The sequence below is a fragment of the Homo sapiens genome, chromosome 5, assembly GCF_000001405.40.
Source record: "Homo sapiens chromosome 5, GRCh38.p14 Primary Assembly".
NCBI lineage: Eukaryota > Metazoa > Chordata > Mammalia > Primates > Hominidae > Homo > Homo sapiens.
In genome coordinates this window covers 111,939,818-111,963,643 of record NC_000005.10, presented here as the reverse complement: position 1 = coordinate 111,963,643, position 23,826 = coordinate 111,939,818, and the positions used below count along the sequence as shown (strand labels likewise).

Genomic DNA, 23,826 nt, shown 5'->3' with positions numbered 1-23,826 from the left:
CTGTTTGAAATTTGTGAAATTGATCACAGAAACTTCTGCAGTAAATACAACCATGAAAACAGCATGGCTAGTAGAAAGCCCTGAAATACATCTCTGGGCAGGGTTTCAGGGAGAAGTTTAGTCTCATTTAATTGACTGTCTCAGTTCTCAAATTGCTCTATTTCTTCTCATTCTGAACTTGGTTTAAATGGCCAGTTAAAAAACATATTTTTTGTGCTTTCTTGGTGGAATTATATTTTGGTCTAAGGCCTGTAGCTTATGGTCAAGAGAGTTTCTCTGAGATGCTTGATGCAGGAGTTTTTCTGGACCCCATTGTTGGACTTGCAATGGGGGTGCCCCATTTACTTGGCCCACCACGCTCAACCTCTTGTGTGAGGGAGTACGTGAGCAAGCGAGTATGAGATCTGGCTGGCTGCTTTGGGCGCTGGCAGGAGCAGGCTCCATGCAGGCCCCATGGCGTTGCTCAGCTGGGGGTGCCTGTGACCCCTGAAGCCCCAGAGGGTTTTTCTCTCTTAGCTCTGCTGTCTGTGGACAGCCATGTGTTATCCACTCAGTGGGCCCCTTGCCTCGTTGCGCAGGGCGGCTGCCCTCCACCAGCAAGGGCAAATGGCCAGTGTGACAGCCTTTTTTGGGTATCCACACATGTTGGGTCCCAAGCTCTTGTCTGCCGTCCAAAAAGGATGAAGTTGCATGGACACTTGAAGGATGGTGAAGGTAGAGAATTTTATTTAGTGATGGAAGTGGCTGTCAGTGGAGAGGGGAGCTAGAGAAGGGATGAGACAGGCAGATAACCTTCCCTTAAGTCTGGCCATCTCCAGCCATCTCTCCTCCAAAGTCCAGCAGTCCCTCTGAAGTCAAGTTATCTCTTTCCAGTCAATCCACTTCTTTCTCTCTCTACCGACTGAGTCTTGGGTCTTTATAGGCACAGAATGGGGGATGGGGCAGGGCGTAGGTAATTTTGGAAAAGGCAACATTCAATTAACAAAAAGACATTATTCAGAAATAATCAACTGAGAGAGAGTGGGCAAACAGGGATTGGACTGCGGGTTTCAAGCTTTTTGGCTCAGGGATATGGTTTTGCTGGGGACCTGCCCCTGTCTGCCTAGGATTTCTCTGCCTCCTACATCTATCACCATCATTCTGTCTGAGAAATTAATTGGGTATTTAGATGCACAGTTTAGGGAAACAACTATTTAAGAAAGGAAAAGCTGCTTGAACATTTCTTCTGTGATACTGATTTCTCTCCTTTTGTAGATGAATGGGGGTTTGGGATTGGAGAATGCCAGGGGTGCTCTTTGTGCTTCAGTTTTATTATTGCTTTTTGGCTCAGTCATCTACATCAGTGATTTTTTTTTAATGATGTAAGTTTAGGATCATGTATTCTTAGCTAAAACTAATGAATAAAGGCATTTTCTCAGGCAAAATAAAGCATAGGAAAGGAACTGTAGGTGATTAAAAACAAAATGTAGTCATCATTGGTCAAAGCTAGGATAAAAGAGCCATGGTACTGGAACTGAACTATTTACAGCACTGAACTATTTAGGCAACCTGAGCTTGGTTCTTGTGGAGGCTGCTAGAGCACGAATCCTGCCTCCTCCTCTGGGATTTGTCACTCAACACTTGACTGGAGCCTGAATTGAAAGAAAGCAGGACTTCCCTTTTTAAATGATCATCTCAGTTTTTCTTCCCTTCTTCCAAAGCTTTTAGCTAATTGCTCACTGACATTCTCCCCAATACTTCTGTTATAATTCTACATGATTTCAAAATCCAGGTAGAATAAAATAAATGGCGTGAACTCTCCTGTTAAGTCCTCACCACTCAAAATGGTCACTTCATGTGTTTATGTTGTTGCTTAGTCTCTAAAGGCATTTATATTTGGAGCTCTAGTTCATAAAACCAGGAGAGATTAGGGAATCAGTAATATTCAAGTCTTCCTGAAGTGTAGGATTCAGAACAGGAAGACATTATATGCAGGAACTATAGGGTCACTTGAAATCCATAAATGTAGAGTAAATAAAAGCAAGTATTTTTCCTCTTAGAAAAATGGCAAAATTTATAATCCTAAAATACCATATAAAAACCCTTTGAAGTTGAGTGAACAGAAAACAGTCTTAAATGAAACTAGAATATTTTCAGAGCATGTCTTTACCATTTAAAGGAAGCCAGGGAGAAAAACGGTCTTACATCAAATGTTATTTTATTTTATTGTCAAATTAAGGAAGCTCTGCTAAGTGGACCACAGATGAATGGAACTTGGCACTTATTGCTTCTTTTTGGACAAGAATACTGCATTTTGTGCTGCTTATTAACACTTATTTTCCTCTTCAGACTTAAATCCACTGGGCACTGGTGGCTGAGTGGGTAAGGTGTACTCATCTTGAGTGGGCTCAGTTTCTGTCCCGCTTACAAATAATCCATGAGAAGCAAAGTGCTGCAGCTCATGGATCAGTGGACTGACAGCCAGGGAACCTTCGTTCTGGCCTAACTACTTATGTGGCCTTGAAAAGTCTTGTCACCTCTTTGGGCCTCAGCTTCTTCACTTGCAAAGTGGGAAGGGTTAAGATAAATGTTACAGACATTGGAAGTGGAAAGTAATTTGTCAATGGGCAGAAATCTAAAATATGACCAAGCCAGGACTTTTGCCATACCATGTCAACATTTTATGACTCAATAAATGTTTTAAAAATATTTCATAATGTTGGAAGTTATTTTGGCTCATAGATTGATTTTTTAAAATTACTTTATAGTCTTTACATAACTGAAGGATCAGTTTTTCATCTTTTACAGCTTTATAAATACCTAACTGCTTAACATTTTTAATGTAAAACTTGCAAGGCATTTAAACTTTTAGACAATATATAGACGTCTATTTCTAGACTGTAAACTTAAGTTTAGATACAATGAGAATGAGTCAGAGTTAAGTGTAAATCCCATGTTAGAATACCAAGCTTGTTCCATTTCTATTTGTCACAACTGCTCCAGTGAGCCAATTCAAGTGGGCTCTAGACCTTTACTGCCCTTTGATTTTCTAAATTCTTGCCTACTCAGATTGCCTAATACAGTACTCATGAACTATTATATTCAAACAGAGATGAGGTTTTTGACCTATCCCCTGGATTGTTTTTCACAGTGATGATGGATTTACAAAGATCCATCTATTTCTATTGGCATGCCCTTGTTAACAATGGCACATATTTTTGCAAGTCCTCTCTGTGGAATTAAATCAACCTAATTGATCAGTGTGTCTCAACCCCCTTCATATTAATCCATTAAATATGTTAAAGAATGAGTGAGTGATTAATGCCATTTTAAAGGATCAATCTATGACTTTGACCTACTTGGGACAGCTGAGGTATGGAATAAAGTAGTGAGTCAGGCTTTGGGATGTTGAATATAGTGAGATTTCAGAAAAACAATTGAAGATGCACACAGATTCTCTGATTTTTAATTTTGCTAGGTGCGAATGTTAAAAATCTCACAGCCAGTGTTAAGAATCAACATAATTTGTAATAGAATGAGCTATTTTTATACTCAAAAAGTTGTGAGGACAATCTCAGAATTTAAAAAATTAAATTAACAAATTTAGTTTTTTGAAAAACTTGACTCTGATTTCTTCATTTGGGCTAGTAATAAGCATGTCTTAAACTGGCAGCTGTCCATGGACCAGTATTTTGGTATTTTCCCACCTCAACTATTTTATTATTTTCATTTCATGAAAAAATCCTGGTTATAATACATATAATAAATGTATAATACATATAATACATGAAGTTGATTTATGAACTTCTTCATGAGCCACAATATACAGCTTGAAAATTAATGCTGTATGGTGTATATACATCAGTGGAATTGCTGGTTTGTAAGGAATACAAATGTTCAGTTTTAATAGAAATGATGATAAATTGCTTCTTAAAGTGTTCAACTTAGTAATTTTTTCAATGTCTTTATATACAAATACCATTTTTCATAATTCTTTAACTGTTGATATTTGAGGTCTTAAAAGTTCATGTCAATTTTGACCATAGGTCAAAAATCGTATATTGTTTTAATTTGATTTTCTGAAGTTTTACAAAAATATATATTCTGGATACTAAGTTTTCTTTATATCTAATCTAAACGCTCTTCAATGCTGTGTTTGCCTTTTAATCATGTTTAGACTATCTGTGTTTATCTTAAATTTTAAATTTAGCTAATGTACATATAGAAAAGTACACATGTATGTATACAGCTGGATGAATTTTCAGAAAGTGTAATCACCCAGATCAGAAAAAAGAACATCAGCCCCCAGAGGCTGCCTTATACTCCTCTCTAATCACTACTCACTTACCCCTTCCTCAAAGTTAACCACTATTCTGATTTCAATCACCATAGACTAATTTTGCTTACTTAAAAATGTACATAAGTGAACTCACAGAGTAAGTTAGAGTATATTTTGATGTTCAGCCATTGTACATTTTATATAGTCAAATATATTTATCTTTCTTTTTGCTTTTTTTGGCAACTTGCTTAAGAAAACCTTTCCCACCCTAACTCATGCTTTTAATAGGTTTGCAGTTTTGATTCCCACATTTAGTTTCCTAACCAATCTAATTTTTTTCTTGTATGAGGTAGAAATATAATTTTTTTTTCTTTCTGAAAACCAAATGTACTGCATTGAACAGTGTCCTTCCCCAGGGATTTGTGATATACCGTAAGGCTATCTATTCTGTCTCATTACTTTATTTGTACATTCTTGTGAAGATAACATGGTTTAAATTATTTTTGATGTCTTGCTATGTGGTAGCACAAACTTCTAATGTTATCCTTAAAAAAATTCTTGATATTCATACAGCTTTATAAAGTAAATTTTATAATCAGCTTGTCTGTGTTTTTGCAAATTCTTATAGGAATTTTTGATTGGAATTGCATAAAATCATAAATTATTTAGAGAATTTTTTTTAAATGTTGAATCTTATCCATGAACATGTTTTGTTTTTCTAATTATTTAATTCTTCTTTATGTCTTCAATAGCTTTGTGCATATTTTAGCTAAAAATCTTGTGTATTTTAGATTAAACTATGTGCTTCTGAGTTGTTAATATTTTGAATGAAATTTTTTAAATTGGCTATTAAGTGTAAAAATAAGTATAAATGTTTGAATGAATATCAATTGTGAGCCCAGAAACTTTGCTGAATTTTCCTCTTAGTTTTAAAACACTGCATTTTGCCTTCCTTGGATTTCTCTATGTGGTAAATTTTATCAACTATGAATTGTGACAATTTTGTTTCTTCTTTTCTCATCTTTATATCTCATTTGTTTCTCTTATTGCATTAGATGGGATTTATGTCCAATTTTTTTTCTGGATAAAGACAATTAGCTTTATTTATGTAAATTAGAAAAATTAAAATTATAGTATTATAATTCATCAACTGTTTTAATTCTTAACAATTTAAGAGTATAGATATAAAACATAAAATAGAATATATCACATTACTCTTTTTTGAGTTAAAGTGTTTTCTTATTTTTACACATAAATTTTATGATATAATGAAAAATAATGTCTCTTATTCTTGCTTTCATGGGAATGCTTCTAAAGTTTGTTATTTCATAAGGTGTTTGCTGTTAGCTTTCGAAAGCTTCACTTTAGCATGTTCTCCTTTGGTGCTACTTTGCTGGGCTTTTTTCTTTCTTTTAATCATGAATGGGTATTGTTGCATTTTTATCAAGTTCATCGTTAATCTATTGAGATGATCATTTAAATTTTGAGGTAGTCAAATGTATATTTCTTGTCCTTAATGCTTTTCTTGTGACTTTTTAAGTGTCTATTTTTCCCTAATGTATTTACATTGATAGGCTTTCTAATGATGAACTATACTTCCTAACTTACCTGGTTATGTTGTATTTTGTACACATACCTTACATATATAAAATTACAGATATATATGTGTGTGTGTGTGTATATATATATACACACACATGAAGTTGGACTTGCTTAGCTCATATTTTAGTTAAAAATTTTGCATTCATGTTCATAAGTGAAAATGGATTATAAATCCTTTTCTTGTACTCTATCTTGGTTTGGTGTAAATATTATATTAATATCATAGATAACACATTTTCTTTTTTATTATTTGGAAGAGTTGTTATAAAATAGGGGTTATCTATGCCTTCTAGTTCATATAAGATAGGTATTATTTGTGCCTTTAAGTTTTATAAAACTATATGGTTATGAGTCTTTGGGGAGGGGTGGTTTTTAAAACTACTAGCTCAATTTGTTTAATATTTATTGACTCTCCATTGAGATTTTTAAAATATTTTATAGGTAGGTATATGAAATTTAACATTTTCCAGAAAATTTCCCATTTTATCAAATTTAAAAATTTATTGCCATTAAATAGCCCAAGATTATTATTTTATCAAATCACAATTATAACTGATGTTAATTACCATTTTAAATTCCTGATATATTTAATTTGTGTATTTTCTCTCTCTCTCTCTTTTGCTCTTTCTTTCTTTTTCTTTCTCTCCTTGCCTCCTCCCTCCCTCGCAATTGTTATTTATTAGTAACAGTCTCTTCTTTCCTCTCTGGACAATTGTAATATTTCTCTATAACTTTAATATTCTGAAATATCACTCTACTGTATGTCATTGTACTTAACTGGCATTTTATTTATTTATTTATTTATTTATTTATTTATTTAGAGACATGGTCTCATTGTGTCATCCAGGCTGGAGTGCAGTGGTGCAATCTCTGCTCACTGCAACCTCCATCTCCCAGGTTCAAGCAGTTCTCATGCCTCAGCCTCCCAAGTAGCTGGGATTACAGGCATACACCACCACGCCTGGCTAACTTTTGTATTTTTAGTAGAGATGGGTTTTCGCCACATTGGCCAGGCTGATCTCAAACTCATGGCCTCCAGTGATCTACCTGCCTCCACCTCCCAAAGTGCTGGGATTATAGGCATGAACCACCACGCTCAGCCTTAATTGGCATTTTAAATATGAAGACCCACATCTTTACTTCTGGATAACTGTCAACCACTAGCTTTTTAAAAAATATTGTTTTTACTCTTTCTGTAATTCCTTTTAGATATTTATGATTTTTATTTAGAATTTTTTAAAGTTTATATTCTTCATGTCACTTGATTTAAAAAAAAATCTAATTTGTCTTTCATTTTGGAAATTTTTTTTAGGTCTCTTCAAATTTACTAATTTTTTCAATTGCTTTAATCTAGTATTTAATTCTTTGAGCTTTTTAATATCAATATACTATTTCACAACTCTGTCGGTTTCATAAAAAGTATTTTTTCATGTCTTTGAAGACTTTAAATATACACCTTTTAAAATCCCCTTATTGTTTTGTTATTTCTGTTGGTGTGAGTTATGTCTGTTGTTTATTTTCTTGCTGCAGACATTCTCATATGTTCTGCAATTCTTGTCTGTGAGCCCATTTTCCTGAAGAATTCTCCTGTCTCTGAGCTCCCTTGTGTCTGTCCTGGGTTGTAGAGGTTTCCCTTTGAGGATATCATGGTGGTATCTACCCAATCTGTAGAGGCTCTCACTGTTCCTTGGCAACTTCTTAGGTTTGTGTTTCGGCTCTGGATTTTTTGGATTTAGAGAGGGTAACAAGCCCTCCAAATCATATGACAGAATAAATTTTGGAATTACATGGGAAACTATATCCAATCAGGGGTTAGGTGAATGATTTGCTTTCCAGGTCCTGTTCTTAAACAGGAAGCCCAACGTTTTTGTTTTTTTTTTTTTCACTACAGGAATGAGATTTTTAGTTCCAACTCTCATCCCTTATGTTAGTGTTGAAACTCCAAACCTTTTGGCTCTGTCTACTCCCATGCTCTGCCTCTTACACCGTGGGTTGCTAGACTTTAGCTCAAAATCGTGACATTTCTGGCACCTGGATATTTCTCATTATTCTTTTCTTTCAAGCTGTGTACATAAAGACAAGTGTAATTTAACACATTTTACTTAGTATTTCTAGTTATTTGAGTGGAAGCGAGTATTTCAATCGGTATTTAATGTCATCTTGACTTGAAAATCTCCACGAAGTTCCCCTTACACAGACTCAGAAAGAAATTGCTTACAGGTCTCTGTATAAGGAAAAGTTGTTTTTCTTATCACAAGTCTTAGAACCGAATGTGTTTTTTTTTTTTGTTTTTTGTTTTTTGTTTTTTTTTTTTCTGTATTGGCCCCCTGTGTAGTTTATGGCCAAATTTGTTGTTCACATCTAACACCTATAGATACAAGGTCCTGGATGGCCTGCATTTATGTGATTCTTTCGCTGACTCACTCAACTATTAATTTTATACTTCTGCATTGTGTGAATTTTTATAAAATTTCTCATTTTTTGTAGGATGAGGTGGCACATAAGAATAATATTTCTCTTTGAATACATACATACTGTGATAATCCCAGGTATTGAGATGGTACTCAACAAATGCTGGCTGAGAGAAGGAAACTCTGAGAGCTGGCTCTCACCATAACCTTTTACTTATTCTTCTGCTTTCTGTTTCTGTGTCAGGCAGGCATAGCTTAAGTCTGATAGTAGAAGAGAATATCAACGAATGGAGACACGTTCTTCTTTCTAGTGAAAACAAACAACCAGGCCCACTAGAAAATTCAGTTAGCCTTCTTCCTCATGCATCTTCATTGGAAAATTAGTTTGTTCTTAGTTATTAATTTAACAAACTCCCATCCTGCTCTTTTTAGCATTCTTCCTTGGCAGCCAGCAATGAGTCATGTGCAACAAGGGTTTTATGCCTTTCAGGCTGATCTTCATTGAAAGAGCAGCTTGGAAATTTTTGTTTTTAAAGAAAGACTTTTAATAAACTGTTTAATGTTGACTTCTCAATGAAGTTACATTCTTCATTTCTTGATGGTAATAGTTTTTGCTTTTAAGTCACTGTCCTCACTGTAGCATGAAGGGAACCTGTCACTCTCTATTTTACATATTTATTACTTCCTGCTTTGTATCTCTGTTCCCTACCCTTCTTTATCTCTTTATTTCTTTTCCCCTTTGACATCAATATTTTTTGAGCTTAGGAGAAAATGTTATTTTCCAATCTAACAGTGGGCACTTTGAAGTAGAGAGAAGTTATAATTTGTTAATGCAAGTTACTTCAATGGTATCAAAATGCATCTATTTGGAGTTCTAAAAAAGTACCACTCTTTAACAATTTTTGGAGCTCAGAAAAATCAAACCAAAACATATCACTAGTAAAACCAATGATAACATTGACAACCTCTGCCAAACCAAGAACATGTGTGCAGTGAAGCATTTCCTTTTCCTATTAACATAATTATTAGCCATTGCCTAGAAATTTCTCTTTTTTTTCTAACCCAAAGAAGTAATCTGCTTCCCTGTAATTTTAATTTATTGATTCCAGCTTTTCCTCTGGATATGGGCATAAAATATAAAATCCCTCTTTCACCTGACAGTTCTTCTAATATCTGAAGATGATCACATGACATCCAATATGCCACTGCAGAGCCTATATTTTTCCATCTTGGCCATAGATAGATGTAGATATAGATATAGATAGATCATGAGAGACTTAATCATGTGCTTGGCTGAAAGCTAAATGTCAATTCACTTTACCTCAAGTTAGATTTGCAGAGCCCTAGAACATAAAGTTACAATTCCTTAGCAGGCATATACCTTACTCTCTGGCCCTAACCCATGTTAAACATGCTGATACTCCCTCAGGTACACATGGTGATACTTTGAGGATGTGAGACTGGGATGTATCATCCCCAGGGGTAATTATTTCAATACACTTCCCTAAATATATTACATATTTCCATATTGTTGTGCCTTTCTTTGTCTACACTGGTCCTTCAACCGAGATGATTCTTCTCCCCTTTCACTGTTATTTGTCAATATGCAACTTAAATATCACTTTCTAAGAAATTTTCCTCCTCTTTCCCAAGCAGAATTCATTGTTCCCTGTTCTATTCTTCCTGGACACTTGGTTCCTATCCTCGTTCTTTCCATTCCATAATGTAACCTAAGTGTCTGAGGTTTTTGAGGGCAGGGACCATGTCTTTTTAAAATTTTTTGTATTCTCACTACTTAAACTTACAGAGTTGGCCTGCGGTAAATAGTGCACGAACTCATGATGCCTGAAGAATGAAAGAATGTTCAGATAAAGTTGGAAAGAAGTTTTTGGTGATGACTAATCTCATAGAAAAAAGAAAGATAATAGAGGAGGAGGTTGCCAGTGATGCAGAAGAAAAGTCTTTGGGAAAAAAAGTTATAGCCTCAGAGGGTTCTAAACCCAGGCATAGAGTGTTCAAAAGGAAACTTGTTGAATCAGCCCCAAGATATCCCATGCCCACTGCCATGTTTGCTGCAATGGCCACACAGCACCAGCTTGTGCACTGCCCATCTGAGAAGTTTGTGCTTGACAGGGCTTTGAGCCTATGCCTTCCTAAATCATTCACCCTGCAAGGTGATGCATTGGTTGAAGGAAATTGGTTGAAAGAAAAAAGAAAGAAAATAATTCTGAAGGAAGACAATAACAACATGAGAGAAAGTTGAAGAAGAGGGCTACTTAGTAAGATATCTAATCATAAAAAGCGTAATTTCAGCTGCAGCAAAGTATAGGTTAGACTATCATAATTTGACAGGTACATGTGATAAGACTTAGAGGACATGAGGCAGGGACTCATGTCTTCATGATGCAAATAATGCATGCATGTGGTAAAAACAGTACAAGCAAGGTATCAAGTAAAAAGTGAAGAGTCCTCCCTTTCACATTCCCATTCCTACTCTCTAATTTTTTATATATCTGTTTTGTAAGCTATAATACAGAGAGATTCCATATATTCTTCACATACTTTCCCCAATGGTAACATCTTGCATAACTACAGGACAATAACAATCAAGAGATTGACATTGATACAATCCAACCAACTTCCCCCTCTTCTTTTTCATCCTGTTCCCCATGCCTTAAATTTCCTTAGATCAACAGCCTTTACTGTAAAACAGAGGCATAAACTGCGATTTCAATGCTCTGGGTATGTTCCAATAACTGCCACACAGGAGATTCTTTCTTCACTTCTTGTCCTATTGCTATCTCCAGCTACGTCCTTGCCTCATTTACTTGTCAAAGTTGTAGAAATATCCACAAGGAAGAGGACTGCTCTTACCATAACCAAATAAATAAATAATAATAACCTCGACTGGTCAATCAACACTTGCTATTCCAACACAAGATAAAGAAGAAATAAAAAGCAGATTTCTTTCCATCAAAGAGCATGATGAAAACCAGATAATCCCAGATGTACCTTGACAGGGAACATCACCCTGGGAGCATCCAAAGGCACAGATGAATCCTTATTTCTTTGACTGTATTCTCATTCTTGCCTAACTGGCTGGCCTTAGGTGTAGATGGTAGAGACGGCTCTTAGGTGATGCAATGTGGAGACCAGGTGTCCCATGTTGAAAAAGACAGGGCTTCTTTCCTCTCATTTCTTTTCTCCACTTGACAAAGGCTTCTGGGAAAACACTTAGTTGTATGATTCGTCGGGAAAGGGAAGGAGTAGAAGGCCGTATATTGCAGGCAGCAAATTAAGCACTGTAGAAGAACTTTGTCCACATGATACAGACAGAGATTCTGAGTGATAGTTGCCTGGGACAGGAGTGTCAGGAAAGAGAATAGGATATAGGGTTTGGAAAAGAGGAGCTCTAAGTGAAATCAAATGGGGAGGTATCCACTTTTGTGCCTTAGCCTCATCTTGGTACAGTTATATGATTGCTCTATTATTTCTAGTATTACCCGAAAACATATGGCATACCTCGCAAACATGGATATAAACCATTATAACAACTCTAGGATATTTAAAATGAAACCACAAATAAATGGACACGATTTTAAAACTTTTGAGATTTTAAGTGCTGGTGAGCATGAGGAACAAGGAGAATGAATATATTTTTATATTATTGAGGGGAATGAAAATTGGTACATTACTTTAGAGAATATTTAGAAACATTTGGTAAAATTGAATACTCATAGAGCCTTCAACCCATCTATGTGACTGCTAAGTTTATACCCTAAAGTAGAAGTTGACAAACTTTTTCTGCAAAAGATCAAATAATAAATATTTTCAGTTTTGTGGGCTATACATTCTCTGTCATAACTGCTCAACTCTGCCACAGTAGTATGAAAGTAGCCATCAGCACTATGACCACCGCTATGTTCTAATAAAACTTTATTTACAAAAACCGATGGTGGGCCATATTTAGGCTACAGGCATTGTTCGTTTACCCCTGCTGTAAAAAAAATACTAAATCATCTACATAAATAGAAATATATAAGAATGTTCATAACAACATTGCTGGTAATAGAAAAAAGTAGAAACCTAGGTGTCCACTAGAAGAATGAATAAATGAGATGTTATGTATATGTGCAGTGCAGTGCTATAGCATAATAAATGAGTAAACAGAAGCCCTCCATAGCACTATAAATAAATGTGGCAAACACAGTGTTAAGTAAAAAAGCAAGAAGGATGCATACAGCATGATACAATTTATTTAAAGTTTTAGAATATATGAAACAATTATATACATTGTCTTCAGAGATATTCATATGTAATAAAAGTATAAAGACATCTGTGGGAAAGACAAACACCAAATTCAGGATAGTGTTAACCTATGGCAGAGAGTAAGGATAGTGCTCTCAGGGAAGGGCAAATAGGAGACGTCAATTGCACTTTGAAGGTTTTATTTCTTAAGCTCATGGAGGATGCACAAATGGTGAGTAAAGCAGTACTCATACTATTTCCTAGACCTTTTTGTGTCTCAAATGTTTTATGATTTAAAAGTCCCTAGGGTGATGATGAGCTTTTTTTCATGTGTTTTTTGGCCACAGAAATGTCTTCTTTTGAGAAGTGTCTGTTCATATCCTTTGCCCACTTTTTGATGAGCTTGTCTGGTTTTTTTTTTTTTTCTTGTAAATTTGTTTAAGTCCCTGGAGATACTGGATATTAGACCTTTGTCAGATGAGCAGCTTACAAAACTTTTCTCCCATTCTGTAGGTTGCCTGTTCACTCTGATGATAGTTTCTTTTGCGTGCAGAAGCTCTTTACTTTGATTAAATCCCATTTGTCAATTTTGGCCTTTGTTGCCATTGCTTTTGGTGTTTTAGTCATGAAGGCTTCGCCCATGCATATGTCCTGAATGGTATTGCCTAGGTTTTCTCCCAGGGTTTTTAAGGTTTTGGGTTTCACATTTAAGTCTTTAATCCATTTTGAGTTAATTTTTGTATAAGGTTTAAGGAAGGGGTCCAGTTTCAGTTTTCTGTATATGGCTAGCTAGTTTTCCCAGCACCATTTATTAAATAGGGAATCCTTTCCCCATTGCTTGTTTCTGTCAGATTTGTTGAAGATCAGATGGTTGTAGGCGTATGGTATGGTGTTATTTCTTAGGTCTCAGTTCTGTTCCATTGGTCTATATATCTGTCACTGGTCATTAGAGAAATGCAAATCAAAACCACAGTGAGACACCCACCATCTCACACCAGTTAGAATGGTGATTATTAAAAAGTCAGGAAACAACAGATGCTGGCAAGGCTGTGGACGAAAAGGAGCTCTTTTACACTGTTGGTGGGAGTGTAAATTAGTTCAACCATTGTGGAAGACAGTATGGCAATTCCTCAAGGATCTAGAACCAGAAATAACCATTTGACCCAGCAGTCCCATTACTGGGTATACACCCAAACGATTATAAATCATTCTACCATAAAGACACGTGCACATGTATGTTTATTTCAGCACTATTTAGAATAGCAAAGACTGGGAACCAACCCAAATGCCCATCAATGATAGACTGGATTAAGAAAATGTGGCACATATACACCATGGAATACTATGCCGCCATAAAAAAGAATGAGTTCATGTCCTTTGCAGGGACATGGATGAAGCTGGAACCCATCATTTTCAGCAAACTAACACAGAAACAGAAAACGAAACACCACATGTTCTCACTCATAAGTAGGAGCTGGACAATGAGAACACATGGACACAGGGAGGGGAACATCACACACCAGGGCAACCTAGATGACAGGTTGATGGGTGCAGCAAACCACCATGGCACATGTATACCTATGTAACAAACCTGCATGTTCTACACATGTATCCCAGAACTTAAAGTAATATATTTAAAAAAAGCATAAACATCATTGAACAACAAACAAATAAAATAAATAAAATCATTTGATGGGATTTCATTATGTGTAAGGAAAGGAATTTTCCAAATAAAATTTTGTTGTTTACTTAAAAAAAAAAATCCCTAGGGCTTTTAATTTTGAATGTCTTTTCCTGTGCACTAGACTGCAGTTTTTGACCCACTGTTGATGCAAGCTGCAATCACCTCAACTCTTTGTCTCATTCAATGGTGTGGCCCACATGTTCCATGTTTTCAGCCCATTTTATAGCATATTTAACATGACAGCATTTGTGGTGGACAATAAATATGCTTTAATTGCCTTGGTTGGCCAGCAGGATTATTATTTGTGATTGGAATAGATTGCTATGGGAAATTGCTGGTTGAGGAAACAAAGAAAGAAAGGGTTTCCAGAATTTCATTTTGTTTTTTCCTTTATTTGTCTTTAGTTACTTTACTATGACTTTAGTTTTCTTGCTCAGGTTCCATGGTTTCATTGTTTTTCCTTGTGTTTTCTCTTTGTACATCCTAGGAAGAGATTAATCAGCAATATTGTTCTTTGTTATTTATCTTTGCTGGATGAGTTTTGGTCACCAAGTCTTCAAGTTAGGTGACTTTCTTGTTCTCTAGAGAGGATGAGAAAAAATTGGAAATGCCTTATACATGGGGAATTGATTAAGTTCATATTTTTCCCACACTGGAAAGACTCATAGTCATGATATGAGTCAGACACAGCTGGGAACATTTCATCTACTTACAGTGAGCTGTTCTATGCTTGAGAAAGGTGACAGACTGATAGGGCAGGAGAGAGAAGTGTTGGATTTGTTCTGGTGTTTCGAAATTTTTTCCATAAAGGCATGTCTTGGACAACCAACTCACTTTTGCATGGCCGTTAGGCACAGTTGTCAGGGAGGGGCTCTTGTTTTTGTCTCTACTGGGTACATAAGACACATGATTTTTGAACTCAATAGAATTGAAATATTCAGGATAGATTCTAGCCTGTAGATAGTTGATATAGAACCAAATACTGCCAAAGTGTTTCTCTTATATGTATGGCATAGGCCAGAGTTGAGTTACAATGAAGACATGAGGCATATAGTTTGCATGGTTGTTTTTCTAAAATAGTGGGAATTCATTTCAGTGAGACTTGGCTAGCATTTATCCAGCACACTGCAGTCTATTTTCTCCACAGCTGTTCGCTGCCATACATTTCTGATCCAAAATACAAAACTGTCCAAAAATGTGGAACACGTTGACCTGATCTTTCCACCAGGGAAATAGCATTACAGGAAAGATGAAATTACTAGAATGAGGCTTTTGTGGGAAATTAAATATGTCTGGATTTATCAGGAAGATTAGTTTCCTACCTCTTTCAACAGCAATTTCTTTTTATTATTCAAAAATTGGGACTAACAAATGGATTTTCTAACAAATACAGATATTCAAATAATTTAATATGGTTCTTGGAAACTGAGGTGGCAGCAACGATTGGATTAGAAATTATGAGAAATGTGAGTGAGGTTTACAGGTGTAGAATATAGCGTGTGAACTTGCTAACTGGTAGTAAATGGGGCAGAGAAGTCTAGGAGTCTCAGTAACTCAGAGGAAGACATTTGTAAGATCAAGGAGGAATATGTTTAATTACTTTCTAATGTACAAGATAACTAAAATATGCTATCAAATATTGCTTGCGAAGATGTCCTACTTTATGTACAACAAGAATTTAAAATCACTGCATTCATGTGCCATTCTGAAGAGCACTCACCTCTTAGAAGGAGGAAGAGTATAGTATTAATTAATAGGCTAATATTTATAGGTATTCGAACCTCTATAGATACCACGTGGATGATTTCTCTTTCTAATTTAGTTTTTGTGTCTGTAAAGAACAGATTACATTACCTCATAGGTTTGTTGTGATAATTTAATAAAATTTAAGGCAGTTAGCATTAGCATAATTCCTTGCACTTCCAATAAGCTCTCAAAAAATGGTATCTATTATAATTGCATAATACAATTTATATATAAATGTAAAAACATGAACTCTTTTTCAAAGTCAATAAATACCCTCCCTCTTTATATAATACAATTGAATATTACCCATTATTTATTATGTCATATTTCTTATTAATAGTACTAAGATAGATAATTTAGTTCAGTTCTTAATTGAAAGAACATTGAATCTGAATTAATAAAATCTGAATCAAAAAGGTTTTTTCTCTAGCAAGTTTAGTATGTAGGATCTCCTAAGACAATGTTTTACTTAAGAAAGCGTTTTTAAGTAGCTACTGTGTACAGACAACTATGAGATATTGTGGAGGAGTGGATACAAAAATAGGGACTTCTATAGTTATACATTATTTCTTTGAATTTATACCTTTTAAAATGTCAAAGTTATTTTTGTTAAGAACGTGAAAAGTATAAACTGTGATTTGGAATCTTACAAATAGCCATTGTCCTAGGAGAGTTAAAACTCATTAACTAAATTATGCTGTAGAAAAACATTGGAATAGTTGTGAGGAGACTAGTATATTCTTATTTTTATTATTTATAGGAATTATTATATTTTCTTGGTTGGTTGGTTTTGGTTTCCTAATTGGTTGACTACAAAACTGGAAGAAGCAGAGATAATTTTGGAGGAAGATGTGGCTGCTCTTGTAACAGTAACATTATAGACCTGATCTTCTCCTAGCAGGGTTCCTGATTGGCCTAATTCTGCCCAAATTAGAAGGCTTAGGTAGTGGTGGGCCTGGGGCCAAAAGGAATTTATTTTTTGTTGGGAAAGAAAAGTAAAGAGGAAATTCAATGCCCTCTACACGGGTGTCAGCCTCTTAAAAAGAGGCCCTGATAGAGGCTGTACTGAGGGACGTCCCTGGGCTTTCTTTACATGTGACTTTACTAGAAAGAATAAGAATAGGAGGGGAGGAAATGACCAATCCCATGTGACAAATGAGAAGGAGTTTTCAGGGGATTATCTTTTACTGTGGCCTGAAAAACAAATGCATCATATATAAAATGAAAAACTTTGTATTTTCTGGTTTTGTTATTCAGATCAAACAATATTTAACATGAAAGGCTTTAAAATGAAAATCTTCATACATGTATAGATTAACATTGTGAAGAACTTCAGTGTAGGGCCCACACTTCAAACATTTGCCATTTGTGATGTTGGCAGTACTTTGTTAAGGTTCATTTGAGGATCTTGTTTTTTGGGAGCAGCTGGTGGCATAAATTCTATGCCCATTTTTTTTTTTTTAGAAAGAAACTAAAGCAAAAATAAAATTGAATTAACTTGACAAAATCTCACCAATGGATGATTAGCAGAATTGGCAACTCTATATTATTAGATTATCCTGCTCACTAGCTCGTTCAAATTTATTTTCTTATGTGTGTGTGTGTGTGTGTGTGTGTGTGATCAAAATCTCTTTGGAGAGTCTCCTCTTTTCCACTCTTAGTCCATTTGTGTCAGGTAGGGCTCACATGCTCCTTAGCTTTGGGAATGGCAATGTGTCCTGGGTCTGCTTACTGTATATACAACTTGTCCTTGGTTACAGTGATTGGTTAGGGTTGGGCACAAGATCCAAGGTGAGCCAATCTACAGTAAATGTAAGAAACTTGCTGATGCTGTCTAAATGAGCTTGCTAAATTGGTGATCACCTTCCCTCTTTTTTTGCAAACGTTCTGATTGAGAATGAAGCAGATCCTGAGGAAAAACAGGGCTGTGAAGGGCTGTGAAATAGAGACATAGTGTCCTAATGATATCATGTAAGACCCTGGATCCAACTATCCTAAAGCCAGATTCAGTTCTTACATTCCTAGTTCTCTGTGTCAACAATTTCATTTTTGTGGTTAATTTATTTTGAGATTACAGTATGTCACTTTCAACAAAACAAACCCTTGTATTCTTTCTGACTTTCCTCTTTTCTTCTGTTTCTTCTTTCCTTTTTCATTTTTTCTTCTTTTTCCTTTTTCTTCTTTTTCCTTTTTATCCTTTCTTCTCTTCCTTTCTCCTGTTACTTTAAAAGTTCTACCAGGGCCTGTTGTGGGGTGGGGGGAGGGGTGAGGGATAGCATTAGGAGATATACCTAATGTTAAATGACGAGTTAATGGGTGCAGCACACCAACATGGCACATGTATACATATGTAACAAACCTGCACGTTGTGCACATGTACCCTAAAACTTAAAGTATAATAAAAAAAAAGTTCTTTATAAGAAACTATAGCAAATAGGATCAACTCATATGGAGCCTTGAAAACTAGGATAAAAGCATTAGACTTTATCATTTATACCCTAATTTTTTAAATTTTGGAAATAGCATGATAAGAGTTAGGATGATAACAAATGTGTAATAAACTATGAAGAATGAAGTGAGTGCGTGAAGAGGGGTTAGGGTGTTGTCCAAACCTTCAAGGAAGAATTGTTACCTTAGAATGTTAATCTGTTAGAAGTAGAGATGTAGGGACAGGTGCAAATAATAATAGTCTTTAAGGGAAGCATAGGTAGAAATTGTTAACTAATCAAATATTAGGGATAAAGGAGAGGTGAAGATGATTCTGAGGTTTTAAGCACCTATGACTAAAACACAGATGGAACAAAAATTTATTATCAATAGAGAAATGAGGATGGGGATGAACTAACTGAAGTCTGCAGGGGACTGTAGGTTAGGTTAATTTGTGTTCTTGCTGAGTCTGAGCAGGGGCTCAAAGAAGCAGGTTTGGAACTCAGACATCATTGCTGAAAATACCAATCTTGAAGTCATCCTAATCAAAGTGATCTTTGATACTGTGGGCCAGAATTGAGTCAAGAGAGAACCAATCAAGTTAAGAACAGATATTCAAGAATTTAGCTGTGGGAAACAAATAAAATTGGAAAGAGAAGAAGGCTGGTTGTCATGGCCCATGCCTGTAATCCCAGCACTTTGGGAGCCCAAGGCTGTGGACTGCTTGAGCTCAGGAGTTCAAGACCACCTTGGGCAACATGGCAAGACGTCATCTCTACAAAAAATACAAAAATTATTCAGGCATGGTGGTACATGCCTATGGTCCCAGCTGCCTGGGAGTCTTAGGTGGAGGGATTGCCTGAGCCCAGGAGGTTGAGGCTGCAGTAAGCCAAGATTGTACCACTGCACTCTAACTTGGGTGACAGAGCAAGACCTTGTCTCAAAAAAGAAAAAAATGGAGGAAGAACAAAGAGGAATGAGAAAATAGGTACAGGAGAGAAGTGTCAAAGTTCGAAAAGTAGGAAGAAACCTAACAATTGTACTGATAAACCAAGGAAGATTTAAATTTCAAAACAAAAATTGGTGGTCTCAAATGTTACAGCAATAAAAGAGAATGTCATGTAGGCATCCCTCATCCAATATACTAAGAAGACTTTTGGAAATTTTCATAAATAAAACTTCACTGATATCTCATCAAAACAAATTCTAGGTGGGATAGAATGAAACATAAACAAATTAAACTAGGGTACAAATTTGAATATTCATCAGCTCTCTCAATAGAAGAAACATTTCTAAGCTTTGAAGCGATAGAAAACCTCATAAAAGGAAAGCTCATTAGAGTTGATCACATAAAAATCACAATTTTCTTGAATGCAAAAAACGTAAGTTGCTGAACAGAGTATATGCAGCAAAATATGACCAGGAGTTTGTCAGTTTTATAAAGAGCTAATCGGAAAAATCCAAAGAAACAATTCACAAAACAGAAAATTAAGTATGGCTTATTTATTTGTTTCCTCTACTATATCCTCCAGTTAGAAAGAGGATGCCCTCTAAGCTCCATGAGGGCAGAGCCTATGCTTTTGCTGTTTACCACTGCAAATCCAGCATTTAACCCATTGAGGTAGGGGTATTTCCTCAGACAGAAATGTAAAAAGAGGCATAGCTTCAGCATGAAAATGAATTCAGATTTGTCTGCACTGGCTTCGCAGTGCAGTGGGACATCGAAGTTGAGATTTCAGTGCCCATCTATAATACAAAGTTCTGGAGCTCAGGGTAGAAGTTCAAGCTAGAGATATAGGTTTAAGAGTAATCATTTGGTTTGTAATTGATGACATGGACTCTTCACCACCCAGGGAAATGTGTATAGAATGAGAAAGGGCTGGGGAAGGAATGCCAAGGAAGCCCAGCATTTAAGAGCAAGACAGAGAAGGCAAGGAAAATCAAGGCAGTATGTGCCTATGAGAGTTCAGGCAAGAAGATGTATAGGGAGTTCAATGTGTTTCACAATAGGCAGCATAACCGGCACCTGATGAATGCTCAAAAATGTTAGCTATTATTAATATGGAAATGACTAATAGCAGGCAGCTTTATTCATATAATATTGAACTTGCCAGAGGACAGAGTGGAGATGCAAAAGAGGAGCCAGTTGTCATAGCTGCCTAGAAAGCTGAAAATGGAAAAAAGGAAAGAGGACTACAGGAGACAGCAGTGATGAGATGGGAGCCACATATGTATAGGAGATCAAAGGGGAGAAAGGGGAGAGGATAATACTTTTAACCCCATTTATTGAGTGCTGCCTAGTGCCAGATGCTGTTCTTAGTGCTTTAACTGATTCAGTTTCAAAACAGCCTTACAATATAATTACTAGACTTAGTCACATTTTACAGTCAAGGAAACTGAGAAATGGACAGTTCCAGTAACTTGCCTAGTGTTGACTACTACTATGAGATGAATACAGGATTTGACCTCAGGCATTCTGACTTTTGAGTCCATGTTCTTAATCTCTTTTATGTACAGCCTCTTAATTATATGGGTGATGACAGTAAAATATTTTGACCAAATCTGGAGTATAAAACTCTATTTTCAAGGGTTTTTTAGTATCATTATCTGATGCTGTTTTTTTTTAAAACTAGTGCTTTAGAAGTCTTTAAAGAAGAATATCAACTTCTATATCATTTCAGATTTCTTTGCAATTATTTTGTACCCTGTCCCTGATTTTCAGTCTTGAGTCACACTTGCTGCTATTTGATAGCACAAACTGCTTTGCAATGAAAAAAAGACACCTGCAATGTTGCAGATGTAGTTAGTATGATGCAGGCAAGACACCAGGAAGAGCAAAAGCGCCTATTTTAGGGACTGTTTTTAAGCCGCACCAGGGAACCAAAGCAATGACTGCATCACATGTGACCATGACTTTCACTTTTCAGATGGAAAGGCGACTCTCATGAGATTTTTTTAAGTGAGAAAATTCAGAATATGAATCATTTTTATTTTAGTGTTATTTGGTGTCATTCGAAATAAAAATATTAAAAAATATAAACATTTTATGGTAAGCATCAGGATTGAAATTTTATTAACAAATAGCAATTAAATCCTGGCTAACAATGTTTGCTAAGATGGTTACCATAAGAAAATAACTTTTGTGAAGCTAAGTTAATATAACTGTTTTTATGGTAATAAAATGATGTCTCATGGAATCGATCTTTGAGACAAGTACTCTTACCACAAAAGCAAAACAAAACAAAAATTAGTTCTGCTATCCTACAAAATGTTGTACTGAATTTACCAAAAATCTAATTCAGAGTCCACACACGGTGTTAAAAATGCAGGCTAAGAAGTAGTGAGTATATTATTGTGGTGATATAACACATAGACATGTCTAGGAAGGAAGACATAGTTGTAAATAAGCTAGAATCTATTTAGAGGATAACAGAATGTAGATTTACATTCCTTTGGTGGGATTATGTTAGGTCAGCCTCTCAATTGGTTTTAAAACAGATATGGCATGCTCTGGTCCAGAAACATTGAAGCTTTTATTATCAATCCCATTCCTAGATGTCCTGTCTGAAATGCTAATATTAATAATAGGCTTGCATTCATCAAATGTAAAAGTGTTAGGAGCAGAACTATGTCATCCCCAAAATTTATATGTTAAAATCCTAACCCCCTAATACTTCAGAATGTGACTCTATTTGGAGACAGGCTGTTTACAGAGCCTGTTACAGTGCAGTTTACTGCACACTGTTTACAGTGCGCAGAGGAGGACACAAACAGGTACAGAGGAAAGACCATGTGAAGATGTGGAGAAGACAGCCATCTACAAGCCAATGAGAGAGGCCTCAGAAGAAATCAATTCTGCTGACACCTTGATCTTGGAATTGTAGCCTCCAGAACTATAAGAAATAAATTTCTGTTGTGTAAGCCACTCAGTCTGTGGTACTTTGTAATGGCAGCTTGAGCAAACTAAAACAAAAAGGTGTGATGTTGGGCTTTCACCCAGGTTTTATACTCTAGATTATAACAAGATAATTAAATAACCAGAAAAATGACTGATTAATAACTTCCCATATGATCTTCATCAGTTTCTTCCTTTGCAATTGAATGCCTATTTACAATTCCTTTGTGAAAGAAAAGTTTGATGTCCATTTATTTCTTGGTAACCCAGAGATTTCTGGGATCCCATAGTTATTCTGTGGTTTCTCCCAGCAACAACCTTAAAGCAAGAATCAGGGTTTGCTCCCTACCCCAAAAAAGAAATGTGTTTTATAAAACATAAATGTACTTTGTGGATTTTACTGAAGACTTATTGAAGACATTATATGACATATCCATACCCAGAAATCTCGACCTTGCCCTATGTGCCTCTCCCTTTGGCTGATTTTTAATCTGTATCCTTTCACTGTACTATAACCAAAAGTATAATGGTTTTATTGTGTCCTCTGAGTCCTTCTAGTGAATTTTGGGGCATGAGTGTGGTCTCAGGGACCCTCAAACTTGCAGTGAGTACCAGAAGTGAGAGTGGCCTTGGGCAACTCCAAACTTGCATTAGGTTTCAGAAGTGAGGGTGGACCTGGGTACTCCTAATGTTTGCATGAGGTCACCTGCCTCTCTTCTCTGTCTTCAGAGTCGGGGCCCATCCCTATAATTGTGACTCCCCTCCACTAGGACAGAGTAGTTGGGTGATGAGTGGTGTGTGGTAGAGAAAGGCATGCCTACTTTAGCTCTTCTCTCCAACGTTTTTGCCAGTTGGAAGGGATGGGAGATATGTGTCTACTGAATTCTCTTTCTGTGGACCTGGAACATGGCAGACAGACAGACACTTTGATCTCCTTGCCAGTACGACTTCATGTCTGCTGTAGTTTGGAGTAGCAGAGAGAAGGCAACAACTTCCTGGTTGTCTTCTGAACTGTACTTTGATAATCAGTAGGTAGAAAAGAGAGGGAACAGTATTTCAAGAACTGTTTTTGTTTTATCTTTTATCCCTATCCTTAAACTATATTTTGTTTTTGGTATTTCGTAGTCTTTTTTCAGGTAAGGTATATTAGGCATCTTTATTTATCACAAAAGGCTATCACAGTGTTTCCCTTTATGTAAGGAGTAAATTGAAGGAATAGTTTTGTTTTGACAACTTACTGTGCTATTCTTGTAGAGTGGCTAGCAGTGGTAATTTTTCTTTGAATGCAGTAATTCAGATTGGGATGTACACTTGATTCTTCTTCTTCACTGTAAATCTGTAAAGTTTCCATGAACGCCAAGTTAATTGAACATTGAATGATTACTCCCACAGGAAATAAAGAGTCAGATTCCTATAAGCCTGTGATAACAGTATTTTTGTCAGCTGATCAAAACATAACCTTGTCTTATATGTGTTTCTTTTTAAAGATAACGTATTTAATATGTATCATTGATTCATTAACTTTGGACTCATGGCCAACAGCATGGATGAAGCT

The 23,826-nt window shown here is 35.9% G+C and overlaps 1 protein-coding gene and 1 long non-coding RNA gene across 3 annotated transcripts in view; one reads left to right on the top strand and one right to left on the bottom strand.

Annotated features, from left to right (window-relative positions):
• Positions 1-23,826, top strand: part of NREP (neuronal regeneration related protein) — a 248,131-nt gene that overhangs the window by 13,289 nt on the left and 211,016 nt on the right. The gene's annotated exons all lie outside the window — the stretch shown is intronic.
• NREP-AS1 (NREP antisense RNA 1) overlaps positions 1-23,826 on the bottom strand; it is a 104,799-nt gene that overhangs the window by 53,663 nt on the left and 27,310 nt on the right. The window contains exon 2 of the long non-coding RNA NR_046678.1: positions 23,510-23,607. This is a non-coding gene — a long non-coding RNA (NREP antisense RNA 1). The remainder of the gene's footprint in view (positions 1-23,509; positions 23,608-23,826) is intronic.